Below are 14,764 nucleotides of genomic sequence, written 5' to 3' on the forward strand. Positions count from 1 at the left end.
ACCCAATTCGAACTTCCTGGAAGCCCTGTGAGGTGAAAACTGCCTACTCAAGCCTCAGTAATGGCAGATACCCCTCCCCCACCAAGCTCAAGCATCCTAGGTCGACTTCAGACTGCTGTTCTGGCAGTGAGAATTTCAAGCCAGTGGACCTTAGCCTGCTGGTCTCCATGGAGGTGGGATCTGCTAAGCTAGACCACTTGGCTCCCTGGCTTCAGCCCCCTTTCCAGGGAAGTGAACGGTTCTGTCTCGCTTGTGTTCCAGGAGCCACTGGGGTATGAAAAAACACTCCTGCAGCTAACTCGGTGTCTGCCCAAATGGTCACCCAGTTTTGTGCTTGAAAGCCAGGGTACTGGTGGTGTAGGCACCCAAGGGAATCTCCTGGTCGGCAGGTTGTGAAGACTGTGGGAAAGGCATAGTATCTGGGCCGGAGTACACCATTTCTGAAGACACAGTCCCCCACGGCTTCCCTTGGCTAGGGCAGGGAGTTCTCCGGCCTCTTGAGCTTCCCAGGTGAGGTGACGCCTCACCCTGCTTCTGTTCACCCTCCGTTGGCAGCACCCACTGTCTAACCAGTCCCAATGAGATAAGCTGGGTACCTCAGTTGGAAATGCAGAAATCACCTGCCTTCTATGCTGATCTCATTGGGAGCTGCAGACCAGAGCTCTTCTTACTCAGCCATCTTGCCCGCAAATAATTTTTTTTTAATTTTTATTAGAGACAGGTTTTCACCATGCTGGCCAGGCTGGTCTTGAACTCCTGATCTCAGATGATCTGCCTGCCTCAACCTCCCAAACTGCTGGGATTATAGGTGTGAGCCACTGCGCACCTCCAAATGTTCCTTTTTGATGAGACTTGAGCATTGAGGGAAAATTGTTTTTCTGCTTTTGCCAGACAAGTAAACATAACAACAACCAAAACAACAAAAATGTGAGACTGAGGGAAGCGCAAATGGGCCATTGAGGAAGTTGGGGTAGAAAACAGCGTCTTTTGGGGGCCTGAATAGAATGTTGTAGGTCTGCCAAGCCAGATCATGTTAGATCATCACCTCTTCGATTCCATGCTTCTGGTCAACCTACCCTGTGAGCTAACATGCCCTAACCCAACTTCTCTAACTCTACAGCAGATGCAAGAAGAAAATTAGCTTTTATGGAACACAGGAAATCTTCACAAGTATCCCCCAGACTTAAAACACACATGAAACTATATGAAGATGAGATTCCCAGCTCTACTTTCCCCTTCCCAATCCCCTTTAGCATAACCATTGTCAAGGCCAGGTGCTGACCAGGTGTGATTTCCTCCAGCTGTTCTTCCCTTTTGTTCCCCATGACCTGTCTAACCAGAGAAATACAGCTGACATAGCCACAGCCTTCCAGTACAGAGGAGAGTGCATGCCAGCCCCTTTCATGTCTTCTTCCCATATGCCTAGTTCACAGACCTCATGAATGAAGAAAGAGCTTTAGGCCCTAGGTCCTGGGAAGTTAACATTTTTCTCAGGACCCAAGATGAGATTTCAGTGATCAGCAGATAACCAAGAGGAAATCAGGTTTGCAGCTGCTGGCCTTAACAGGAAGATTTAAACAGTCAGGTCATCCAAATACCAACTCCATCCGCCAACTGTCCCCTGTATCATCATTCCCTTTCCATGATGGCCAATGACCTTGCATGGAAATCCTTCTTGAGTTGAAGGAAAAAGCTATAACCAGACCAAGTCCTCAAGCTATACCTGAGTCCTCCATTAGTCTGATGGGATGCTTCCTTGCATGGCTTCAGCTCTGCAGGAATTCAGAAGAAAGGTGCCCCCTCTGGTCAGAGCAGAGAAAGCTTCCCCTAAAGAGCCACTCCTGGCTGTGATGCCCACTGCAACATGTAAAGAGCTACACTTTCTCTTCCCCTGCCTCCAGCTCCCCTGCTTTCCCACATCACTCCTGCTTTTCAGCTATGTCCTCTGCCTCCTGAATTACCCTGTACCCGAGTACCATTCTTCCTGGGCCCCAGCCCTGTTAAAGCCCTTCACATGCCTTTTTCCCAGTCTCCATATTTTCATATCTCACTCTCCATTCAAATACTTTTACTACCCAAACTTCCTTCCAAATTTTTCCTAACTTAAAAAAATCTTTCAGTGGTTCTCTTTTCTTCAGTTTAGTCTTCACTCAAACTTCCTGACAGTCTAGTCCCCTTTAAATCCGCCAGTTCTCAACGTCCCCAGTCGCTTAAAACCCATTTATTTCCTCCTTTGCCCCTACCGATGGTCTGGTTACTCCTTTTTTGCTCCAACATTCTCCAAAACTTTCTCAAGCACAGATATCGTTCCTTCGTCATCCCCAAATCTCCTGTCACGCTTTTGTCCCCAAGCGTCTTCTCACCCCTTCACGCCACATCACCCCGGTCCTTTAGACTCCTGCGCATTCTATTTCCCCGTTTCCTTCTCACACCCACTTTCTTCCCTGGCTCCCACCACAGCAGTGCCCATCTGCTCCTCCCCGCTCACTCAGGTCTCCTGCTCAGGACGCCCTTGCCGAGGGCGCGGGGCATTTGTACTGAAGAAGGGCTGCAGGAGAGTCGGTGACCCCTCCTTCTACTTGTATGTAGCGGCCCCAAGTGTCCCGGGAGCTGGTGGGGCGCTTGGGCTGTATGAGCCCGGCCGCCAGGAGGCTGGGGCTGCGTCAGGAGCTGTCCGTGGTGCTTAAGCGGCGTCTGCTCGGGCGCGGGGTGTGGCGCGGCGGGTGAGCGCTGTCCCTGGTCCTGGAGAGGTTCCTGGCCCCCAGTGGCAACGGTGAGAGCAGTGGCCCAGAAGGCCAGTACCGGGAACGACGATGGCGGGCACAAGGGTGGGCTTGCAGCAGCTGCTGCTGGTGCTCCCACAGGCTGCGGTTCTCCGCGCTCAGCTCATCCAGCCGCCGCTCCTGCTCGTCGATGCGCTGGCGCTGGATGTGGACGAGGCTCTGCTGGTTCTGCACGATGGATGGCCCAGAGCCCTTGAGGTACAGCACGGCGCGCACCGGGTTTTCCAGCAGGCTCTCGATGCCACCCACCGCCGCCTGCGCCCTGCCTGCCCCTGGGCTGGCGCCTGGGAGCGCGAGGGCGCGGGAACCCAGCAGCCCAGCGGTCCTCTCCCACGGGCCCAGCCTCCCTCCCGCCGCCAGCGCCGCGTCACCGCCACCCCGATTGTCACACACTCACCACGGGGAGAGGCCGCGGCCCAGAGCACCCCTTCCTGTCTCTTGGTGTCCAGAGGAGGCTCTGCCTCCCGCTGGGCAGAGAGGAGAGGGAGGAGGCCAGCGAGAGGGAGCCTGTGTCGGGGCGTGGGAGGGAAGCAGGATAACGCAGGCGACCCGAGAAGGAGGGTGAATCTGACTGGCAAGACGGGAAAGTAGGCGAAGGGGAAGAGGTGATACAGGGAAGGTGCGGTGGGGCCGGTAGGAGAAGAGAAGCAGAAAAAAAAGGAAGAGAAGGGGAGAAGCTGGCAGAGAGGAAGAAGAAAAGGGGAAGGTGGGGGCAAAGAAAGAGAGAAATGAGCTGGAGAAGAGGAAGGCGTGGGTCCCTGAAGGGGCGCAAATTCTTTTCCCAGGCCCAGGCCTTCCAGCGGCTGGAATCCATCTAGAGACCCGCTGAGGAGAGCCCACACTCGCCTCTTGCTCGCAGCAATCTATTGTTCTGGGGAATTCCCTGGAACACAAGGATCCTGGAGCTCTAAGCGACCTTAAAGAGCATCTGGTCCTGCTCCTTCCTTCAGCCATGATAAAACTTGGGGTGGGAAGACTGTTCATGCTGGGTTTTCTCTGGGAGTGAGACCTCAGGACGGTTTTGGCTGTTTCTACTAGGAACACAAACTAAATAAACCAGGCCCTCTGTAGCAAGGGCTAATTCTTCCAGAAACTTCTGAATAAATCATTCTATTTGACAAACATTTATGAACTACAGGAGGAAGTGACTCTTAAAGTGAGAAAAGTTTTCCAGAAAGGAAGGGCAGCATGAGCAAAAGCTCAGAGATACTAATCAGCATCAACCAAATCATTCATTTCTATAATAATTTTATGTAAAGTACCTGACAGATGCATATGTGCAAAGTAATGTACTAGGATCTCCACCAGGCATAGATAAGAAATTATTGTTTCTGTAATCTAATTGATTCCAGTATAGTAGAGTAGATATGTCATGCACATGAATCAGTAAAATATAAGTCAAGATCTCTGTAAGAGCTCTTCAAGCCAAGTGCCACAGGGCTTAAGGGAGGGAGAGGCTTCATTTGACTATGATGATCTGATAAGGTTTGATGGAGGTGTTATTCAAGCTGGACCATGAAGAATGAGAAGGATTTCAACAGGTAGAGACAACAGTGGGCCACAGATGGGGAAGATACAGCAGATAGCAGGAAAAGACTAACAAACAGAAACAGAGCAGTATGGTTTAATCTAATTTGGCAGGGAAATTACCCTCTCTTCCCTTTTATAGGAGCAGGGTAGGAAGAAGGCTGGGATGTGGGTGTTAGCATATTTGTTGTTATGCTGTTGCATTCTTTACACAGGTGGCCCATCAGGCTCCTGTTGACCTCCTGCTCTTCCAGGATAGGCATATTTGTGGGTACCATGTGCCCAATGAGCTGGGCCACCCAACCCCTTCTAGTGCCAGACTTGCATGACCTTATAGGAAGTTATTCGTGCTATGAAAATACAATGACTTCTCTGCAGTTCTGATGTGTTTTTATTTTGCTTCTATCCCATGTACCTTCTTAGCAAAATTCCTTTTGTAAAGAATGAATGAAGGAAGCTTATCCACAGCTGAGCCCACGGTTGGGGGAAACAGCACCCTGGAGGATGCTTTGGTAGTGACCAGCATTCCATCTAAAGAATGGAGGTTGGGGGATGGAACTAGGACACACAAAACCTCAAACTCTTTTCTTCTGAACTTTCTTTGCTTGCCTATTTGGTTTGTTGCCCAGGATTGTGTGCTGATAGAGACAAATACTATAAGTGAAACAGCCTGCAGCATAATTATACATGGGGGTTGCTGAAAATGCAAATTTCTGGGCCCTGTATCAGTCCTGCTGTATTGGAATCACTAAGAATGAGGACCAAGAACTTTCATTTTTTAACTTCTTGCTGTTATTTTTTAAAAATCAACTTTACTGACTTACAATTTATATCCAGTAATAGGCACTCATCTTGATTGCACAGTTCAATGAATTTTGACAAATATATACATCTCCGTAGTCACCACTACAATCAAAATTTCCATTATTGCAAAAAGTAACCTCATGCCCCATTGCAGTCAATCCTCCCCTCCTCAGCACCAGTTAACCACTGATCTGCTTTCCATCAATATATGTTATTTGTGCCTCTTATGGAATTTCACATAAATGGAAATCATACAGCATGTACTACTTCATGTCTTTCTTTTTTGCTCAGCATAGTGCTTTTGAGGCTTAATCATTCTGTTATGGGAATCTCTCGTTTGTTCCTTTTATTTTTGAGTCGTATTCACAATAGATATACCATCACTTATGTATTCACCTGTTGATGAACATTTTGGTTGTTTCCAAGTTCTGGTTATTTTTAATAAAGTGGCTGTGATTTTTTTTTTTTTTTTTTGAGCCAAAGTCTTGCTCTGTCACGCTGGATGTACTGCAGTGGTGCGATCTCGGCTCACTGCAACCTCCACATCCCGGGTTCAAGTGTTTCTCTTGCCTCAGCCTCCTGAATAGCTGGGATTACAGGCATGCGCCGCCACACCTGGGTAATTTTTGAATTTTGAGTAGAGATGGGGTTTTGCCAAGTTGGCCAGGCTGGTCTCAAACTCCTGACCTCAAGTGATCCACCTGCCTTGGACTCCCAAAGTGCTGGGATTACAGGTGTGAGCCACCACGCCCAGCCTTGGCTGTGATTATTAATGGACAAGTCTTTGTGTGGACATATTTCATCTGTTTTATCAAGACTAAAATTATAGAACTGAAATTGCTGGATTACATAAAAATATGTATTTAACTGAATAAGACACTGCCAAACTGTTTTCCAAAGTGATGGTACTTTTTTTTTTTTTTTTTTTTGAGACAGGGTCTTGCTCTGTCACCCAAGCTGGAATGCAGTGGCGCGATCTCAGCTCACTGCAACCTCCATCTCCCGGATTCAAGCGATTCTCCTGCCGCAGCCTTCCAAGTGGCAGGGATTACAGAAGCCTGCCACCAAGCCCCGCTAATTTTTGTATTTTTAGTAGAGATGGGATTTCGTCATGTTGGCCAGGCTCGTCTCGAACTCCTGACCTCAGGTTATCCACCTGGCTCCCAAAGTGCTGGAATTTCAGGAGTGAGCCACTGCGCCCGGCCGATGGTACTATTTTTAATTCTTGCCAGCAACATATGACAGGGTCAGGTATTTCAAATCCTTGCTAACATTTGGTATTTTCATCCCTTTTTTATTTAATGCATTTGAGTGGGCAAGTAGTTGCATATGAATATGGTTTTAATAAGTGTTTTCCTGGTGACTAACACCATTGAGTATCTTCACATGTGTTTTATTGTTTACTTGTGTATCTCCTTTGCCCACTGTTTCTATTGAATTGTCTGCCTTCTTATTTTTGAGTTGTAAGATGTGTTAGGACATTCTTGTATTGCTATAAAGAAATACTTGAGATTGGGCAATTTATAAACAAAAGGGGTTTAATTGGCAAGGTTCTGCAACCTGTACAGGAAGCATGGTGCCAGCATCTGCGTGCCTTCTGAAAAGGCCTCACAGAACTTTTACTCATGGCGGAAGGCAAAGCGGGAGTCAGCACATCAAATGGCAAAGGCAGGAGCAAGAGAGAGTGAGGGGGGAGGTGCTACACACATTTCAACAACCAGATCTCACAGGAACTCATCACCATCCTGAAGACAGCACCAAGCCACAAGGGAACCGCCCCCAAGACTCAAACACCCTATCAGGCCCCACCTCCAACACTGGGGATTACAATGCAACATGAAATTTGGGCGGGGCCAAATATTTAAACTATATCATAAGACTTTTTACTACATTCTGGAAAGCAGTCTTTGTCAGATGTATGTATGGCAAATATTTTCTTCCAGCCTGTGGTTTTCCTTTTCATTGTCTTAATATCTGTTGAAGAGCAAAGATTTTTATTTTGATGGAAAATATACTGATTTTTATTCTATGCTTCATGCTTTTTGTGTCCTATCAAAAATTCTTTGCCTATTCAGGGTTATAAGCATGCTCTCTTGTTTGTTTGTTTGTTTGTTTTGCTGGAGGTTTTATAGTTTTTGCTTTCAAGTTTAGGTCTATGATCCATTCCACGTTAACTTTTGTGTTCAATGTGAAGAGTTAAGGTTCATTTCTTTCTTAAGTGTTTGACAGAACGAAGCCATGTCTGCCCAGAGGTCTATTTGTGGGAAGATTTTTAAACTACACGTTCAGGTTTTTTAATAGGTACAGGACTATTCAGGTATTCTATTTCTTTGTCTATCCATTTTGGTATTTGCCTCTCTGGTAGGCAGAATGACCTCCCAAGGATGCCCATATCTTTGTCCCCTGAACCTATAAATGTGTTACTGTACATGACAAAAGGGACTTTAAAAATGTTATTAAAGTAAAGGTCTGGAGATGAGAAGTTCATCCTGGATTATATGGGTGGATCCAAAGTAATCACAAGTCTTTGTAAGAGGGAGGCAGGGCCTATTCAACAAATGATGCTGGGATAATTGGCAAGCCACATGTAGGAGAATAAAACTGGATCCTCATCCCTCACCTTACACAAAAATCCACTCAAGATGGATCAAGGACTTAAATCTAAGACCTGAAAAAATAAAAATTTTAGAAGATAACACTGGAAAAACCCTTCTAGACATTGGCTTAGGCAAAGATTTCATGACCAAGAACCCAAAAGCAAATGCAACAAAAACAAAGAGAAACAGGTGGGACTTACTTAAACTAAAAAACTTTTGCACGGCAAAAGAAACAATCAGCAGAGTAAAAAGACAATCCAGAGTGGGAGAAAATCTTCACAATCTATACATCCAACAAAAGACTAATATCCAGAATCTACAAGGAACACAAACAAATTAGCAAGAAAAAAGCAAACAATCCCATCAAAAAGTGAGCTAAGGACATGAATAGACAATTCTCAAAAGAAGATATACAAATGGCCAACAAACATGAGAACACGAGTAACATCACTAACGATCAGGGAAATGCAAATCAAAATCACAGTGTGATACCACCTTACTCCTATAAGAATGGCCATTATCAAAAAATCCAAAAGTAATAGATGTTGGCATGGATGCAGTGAAAAGGGAAAATTTCTAACTGCTGGTGGGAATGTAAACTAGTACAACCATGATTGAAAGCAGTGAGGAAATTCCTTAAAGAACTAAAAGTAGAACTGTCATTTGATCCATCAATCCCACTAAGGGATATATACCCAGAAGAAAATAAGTCATCATATGAAAAAGATACTTGCACACGCATGTTTATAGCAGCGCAATTCGCAATTGCAAAAATGTGGAGCCAGTCCAAATGCCCCTCAATCAATGAGTGGATAAAAAAAACTGTGGTATATGTATGATGGAATACTACTCAGCCATAAACAGGAATGAATTAATGGCATCCACAGCAACTGGATGGAACTGGAGACTATTATTCTAAGTGAAGTAACTCAGGAATGGAAAACCAAACATCGTATGTTCTCACTCCTAAGTGGGAGCTAAGTTAAGAGGATGCAGAGGCATAAGAAGGATAAAATGGACTTCAGGGGCTCAGGGGGAAAGGGTGGGAGGGGATGATGGACAAAAGACTACAAATTGGGTTCAGTGTATACTGCTTGGGTGATGGATGCATCAGAATCTCACAAATCGCCACTAAAGACCTTACTCATGTAACCAAATACCACCTGTTCCCCCAAAACCTATGGAAGTAAAAAATTAAAAAAAAAAAAACAAGCCAGAGATGGGATGTGACCAGAGAAGCAGAGGTCGGAGTGATGTGATTGCTGCTGCGAGCCAGAAGCCAAGGAATGCTGGCAGCCGGAGGATGCTGGGAAAGGACGGAAACAGATTCTCCCCTGGAGCCTGCAGAAGGAGCACAGTGCTGTCAATACCTCTATTTCAGCCAGATGAAGCCCAGTTTAGACTCTTGGCTTCTGAAACTGTAAGATACTAAATCTGTGTAGTTTTGGGTCACTGTGTTTGTGGTAATTTATTACAGCTGCAAATGGAAACTAAACTAGGTTTCTAAGGTGGAAACTTAGAGTATTAATTTTAGACTTTTCTTCTTTATTAATTTAAGCACTTAGAGCTGTAAAGTTCCTACCAAGCACTGCTTTTGCTGGAGCTCACAAATTTTGTTTTCATTTTCATTCAGCGCAAAATATTTTGTAATTTCCTTTGTTATTTAAAAGTGGGCACGAAAGGTGGACTTTGGTGTTGTGCCTCGGTTGACCTTGTTAAGAAGAGTGACTGAGACATGTCTCAATCAATTCCAGGTTTAATTAGCCAAATTTGAGGATGTGCTGAGTCCCCACACCCCTTCTCCCCTCTGGCCTCATGAAGCTTCTGCTTAAGGAGGGCTCCATGTCCGTCTTTAGCATCTCAGGGTGAATTAAGTCCCTGCCCTCTAAGGGCATTTTCATGTGAAGCTTTGTTCTCTGTGACATAAGGGGAGAGGGAGGTTTAGAGGAGCTAGGGGAGAGGTCCCAGGGGATTTCCTTGCCCCACAGATACATCTCTCCACAGAGCAAAATACATGCAAAGTACCCGGCACAGTGCCCAGCACCCAGTCAGTGCTCATGAAATGTCGGTTCCCTCTGCCCACTGCAGATGGTACAAACAACACAAGGAGCCAAGCTTCAGCTTGGTGAAGAAGAGGAGCATAGCCCACATCCCAGCTCCCAGGCCTTGTCCTCTGTGTCGCAGCTCAAGGCTAAGGGCAGCTCCAGTGCCAGTATTGCTTGTGCTGAGGATGGACCAGCATGTCCTGTGCCCTGTGGCCCCCAGAAGTGCTGTTGCCTGCCTGCTGCTGCTCTGCGTCTCCAGCCCCTCCCCCACGTGCCTCGCCAAAGCCCACTCCACCTCCCTCCCCTCCCAATCCTTCTGGAGCTCCCACCTCTCATCTTTCCTTCCCACTGCGGGGCCAGTAGTGATCTGTAGGCCTCCCTGAGACAAAACTGCCCCTACCCTGCCTGAGATGCTCAGAGACAGGGCACTGACTAGTGCTCAGCTCCGAAAGGATGAACTGGGATCTTTTCCCAATGTTGATGCCCTCTGGGGTCTGAGGATAAAGATGGAGGGAGGCACTGAGCTGAGCTCAGACAGGAAAAGGAAGAGTTCATGGTCCAGAGCTAAAGAAGACACAACCCGGTGAGCAGAAGACCCTGTCCCAGCAGGGAAATCCACGCCCTGGTGTGGGAGGGTCTGGAGCTCAGGAGGGATTCAGGCTTAGCAGGGACTCAGGCTCAGTGCCCTCTGCTCAGGAAAGCAAACCCCTCTAGGTGAGGCTTCCTCTCTGGGTCTTTACTCCAGGGATCCAGATTCAGAATCAAGGGCATCATCAAAGTAGGATGCCAGGGACACCTCGGCTACAGCCAAACAAATGCCAAAGGCCCAGCTGTCACAGCTGTGGGTTGGCGGGGAGCAGCCTCTTCATGGGCCCATTCTGCCCTTTATGGACTCAGGACCCTCCGTCAAAGCTGGCTCTTTCAACCCTCAGAGCACCGTCTCATCTGTTGCTTTATTTGTGACTCACAACAAGCCTCTGAGTCAGGCAGGGCATATGTCACTCCAATTTCATAGAAAGGGAAACTGAGGCATGTGTTGGGCTAAGTGACTTGGACCAGACGGTAAGTGAATTAGGGTCAGGACTCAGATCTCCTTGGATCTATACCAAATGCCCTCTCACATGCAACCCTCACCCCGATCTCAACACTTCAATGGCTCCACGGCTTCAATGGCTCTCACAAGAGTATGAGCCCACAGCAACTGCATGCATGTTCACGTGCGTGTGCACCTGTGTGTGTGCGTCTATGCTTGTGTGTGCATGTGTTTCTGTGTGTACGTATATGTGCGTGTGTGATGCTTTACTTGCTGAGGGAAGGGGAGAAGGGCTGGCTGGCAGGTCTTGATGTTTTTCTCTATCTTGAACATTGTAGGTGCCACTCCCGGGAGAGCCAGGCAGCCATGGTGGGTCAGGAGGAGATGTCTCAGGATGAGACCTGTGAAGTGAAGATGAATGATGACAGGGAGGCCTGCAGTGAGCCCAGCCTGCTCGCCACACAGATATGTGAGCTTTTCTGCCCTCTGCCCAGGCTGACCCAAATGTGGGAACATGTCTGGGGAGGCAGAGGCAGGTCCCTGAGATCCCTCCTCTGGGAATAATTTGCGGGAGGAGAGGAGATCACATAGAAAACACCTGCACAGCCTCTGTCATCGTCTTAGAGGAACGGGAGCCCCCAACACACACATGCACACACACACACACACACACACAAACACACACACGCACACAATGCCCTTTTTAGTTTGGCCTTTCCTGACAAGGAAAATTTCTAAACATAGTTTCTTAAACTTTTTAGGCTATAACCAACAGACGGTAAGTATATTTTCTGGTGAGACTCAGTGCACACATACATATATTGACAAGTGTTTCATGACATTACTTATAATAAAGCTGCCCAGAAGACGGCACTGGTGGCAAATCTAGGCCTGAGACTTTTTTGTCCTTGCTGGAATTTTTGGAGCATTTTAGCTGCAAACCTAGATCCATTAGAAGGTGGTGACATCCATTTGGTCAGCTATGACTGGCTCTGAAAAGAATAGTACAGCACAGCATAGCGTAATAAAAACTATCAGTGTACATCAAATGCCACAAAGGTAAGTGCTGTGCTGTGACACACTTGCTGAATTGCCAAAGATGTATGTATCTAGGGGGTCTCCTCGTGAAACGTCTTTATGACTCTGGGTGGAATTCGCCGAAGTTTGAGACATGCTGTTTCAGAAGCATTCCTGAAAGAACTTTAGAGTGAAGGAGGACTAGCCTTTTAGGTTTTTTAAGAAAGGAAAGTGTAGCTGGAGGTGGTGGGAGGGGGGACCAGGCCCCCCCGCTTGGGGAGTATGGGGAGAGCGGCAGCCAGGCCAGCACAGCATGCAGCTTCTGGGGGTCCAGTGCTTTGGGTAGGAAGAGTAGCAGAGGCACCTCCTTTTCCCCTAATGTAGAAAGAAGACTCTAGTGAGTAAGGAAAAACATGGAAATAGTTAACACCTAGTTCTTAGAGATGACACCAAAATAACAATTCATAGAAATAAAAACTGATAAAGTGGACTTCATGAAAATGTAGGCCTTTTGCTCTGTGAAGGGTCTTATTAAGAGGATGAAAAGACACGCTACAGACCGATTGAAAATAACCGCAACCACGTATCTGACAAAGGACTTGTATCTGGAATCTAGGAAGAACTCTCAAAACTCAACACATTTAAAAAAAATCCCATGAGAAATCAGACAAAAGACATGGACAGACATTTCACCAAACACAGTAGCTGAACAGAAAATGTGCACATGTAAATATGGTCAGCACCACTGGCCATTAGAGAAATGCAAAATAAAACCACAATGAGCTATCACTATGCCTGTTAGACTGAATAAGATAAAAAAAAAATAACAACCAAGTGCTAGCAGGAATGCAAGAAAACTGAACATCTCATACATCGCTGTGTGACTGAAAAATGGTACGGCCACTTTAGAGAAGAATTTGGCAGTTTCTTAAAAAACCAAACATGGGCCGGGCGCGGTGGCTCACGCTTGTAATCCCAGCACTTTGGGAGGCCGAGGCGGGCAGATCACGAGGTCAGGAGATCGAGACCACAGTGAAACCCCATCTCTACTAAAAATACAAAAAATTAGCCAGGCATGGTGGCGCGCGCCTGTAGTCCCAGCTACTCGGAGAGGCTGAGGCAGGAGAATGGCGTGAACCCGGGAGGCGGAGCTTGCAGTGAGCCGAGATCGTGCCACCGCACTCCAGCCTGGGTGACAGAGCGAGACTCCATCTCAAAAAACAAACAAACAAACAAACAAACATGGACTTCCCATGTGACTCAGCAATTGTACTCTTTGGCATTTACCCCAAAGAATGAAAATTCAGGTTCACAAAAACCTGTACATGCATGTTCCTAAGAACTTTATTCCTCACAGTGGAAACCACCCAAATATCTTTCAATGGTGAAGGAGTCAACAAACTCTAGGATATCCACACAAGAGTAAAAATAAATAAACTACTGATACAGGCAACGGCGTGGAGGATCATAAGAGCAGGAAGCTTGGTGAAAAAGGCCAGTCTTACAGAAGGTTACACACTACACGCTTCCATGTACATAACATCCTCCATATGACAAAACTAGAGATGGAGGAGAACAGAGAAGGGATTTGTGGCTGCCAAGGACACACGGGCAATGTGTGGGGATGAGTCTCAAAAGGAGAATCACAAGGGAGGTGAGTTCCACTCGGTGACGAGACAGTTCTATGGCAATGGCAGGGGTGGAGATGGTTACAAGATACTACACATGAGATCACCTTGCGTAGAATACACACACAGCGCATACAGACACTGAAAGCTGCATAAGGTCCATAGTCTAACAAGGTCCGTAGTCTTAACAATAGCCAACCGATGCCAATGCCCTGGTTTTCTCTCTACTACTTTTGCAACTAACTGTGAATCCACAATTATATCCAAAAAAAAGTTAAGAAGAGAACTAGCAGATAGTAGCAACATGATCATTGATTAGAGTCAGCCCAATGCCCATCCATAGGGGACTGATCAAATAAACTAGAGTCCATCCACACCATGTATGCAACAATAAAAAATAAGGAATATATTTGCCACCTGGTGTGCATAAGTGATAAAAGCAAGATTCAGAGCACTTGGAGAGACTGCACTACCTACTGTGTGAGAAAAAAAGGGAAATCAGAATGTACCAGAAACACACATTTGCTTCTTTCCACAATAAAAATGGCAAGGACAAATCAGAAGCCAATGAATATGGTTCTCCCTAGGGGTGACTGAGGAACAGGTTAAGAGGATCCAGATAGGAGCAAAACTACTCTGAGTACAACTGTAGTTGTAACTTTTTAATTATGTAAATCTTTACATCACCAATATCTTCTATTAAGAAAGGAGAACAGAAATTCTAAAATTTAACACCAATTTTAAAATCTAAATTATATCAATTTCATGCTGTAACCACACAGAAAACGATTACCTCAGTAACTTCTGAACAAAATACTCTGTCTGTAACCCTGAGTGATCTCAATTCTGACAACAAAAGAACTGCAAAGAAAACTGAAGCTTCATGTGGTAAGTGGGGAACAGGGTAATCAAGAGAAGGCCAGAATATCACATTGACCTTAGCATAAAGTGAGCCAAATCTCTAAAAACACAGCCAAGCCAATTTAAACATAGGCAAACTGCCTGAACCTGAACTTCAACCCTTTGAGCCAAGTACTTTATAAACATTGTCTCACTCAGTTGCAGAACAGCTGCATAAACCAGGTACTACTGTTCTCCCATTTTCCCAGAGAAATTGGAGTAGGGAGAAGTGGCATAAGTCCCCAAGGCCACACAGCTAACAGGAGAACCAGGCTCTGGACCTGCAGGGTAGGGAAGTGCAGAGCCCATGCTTCTAACCTTTAATTCCTTGGAGGGAGCAGAGAGGAGGTGGCCACAGCCCTAGCTAAAGAGCAGAAGGAAGAAGGGAAAATTCTCCTCCAAGGGAGCAGACCAACATTGCTTAGACCCT

General features: G+C 46.3%; 1 long non-coding RNA gene and 1 pseudogene across 1 annotated transcript in view, besides 2 other annotated features; both read right to left on the bottom strand.

The window, feature by feature from the left end:
* The window catches only part of ITFG2-AS1 (ITFG2 antisense RNA 1), a 70,299-nt gene that overhangs the window by 7,484 nt on the left and 48,051 nt on the right, over nt 1–14,764 (bottom strand). The window lies entirely within an intron of this gene.
* On the bottom strand, nt 2,458–3,128 carry IQSEC3P1 (IQ motif and Sec7 domain 3 pseudogene 1; annotated as a pseudogene).
* Nucleotides 2,637–2,849: a silencer, noted in NCBI's record as "fragment chr12:2861912-2862124 (GRCh37/hg19 assembly coordinates)". NCBI's record gives its function as "represses an EF-1alpha promoter that drives an FKBP-Casp9 reporter gene in an ReSE screen in HepG2 liver carcinoma cells {active_cell/tissue: HepG2}" and the evidence as "EXISTENCE:reporter gene assay evidence [ECO:0000049][PMID:32094911]".
* Nucleotides 3,094–3,594: an enhancer, noted in NCBI's record as "H3K4me1 hESC enhancer chr12:2862369-2862869 (GRCh37/hg19 assembly coordinates)". NCBI's record gives its function as "activates a minimal SCP1, AML or CMV promoter by ChIP-STARR-seq in naive H9 embryonic stem cells {active_cell/tissue: H9 hESC(naive)}" and the evidence as "EXISTENCE:reporter gene assay evidence [ECO:0000049][PMID:30033119]".

The sequence above is a fragment of the Homo sapiens genome, chromosome 12 (assembly GCF_000001405.40).
Source record: "Homo sapiens chromosome 12, GRCh38.p14 Primary Assembly".
In the NCBI taxonomy this organism is placed as follows: Eukaryota; Metazoa; Chordata; class Mammalia; order Primates; family Hominidae; genus Homo; species Homo sapiens.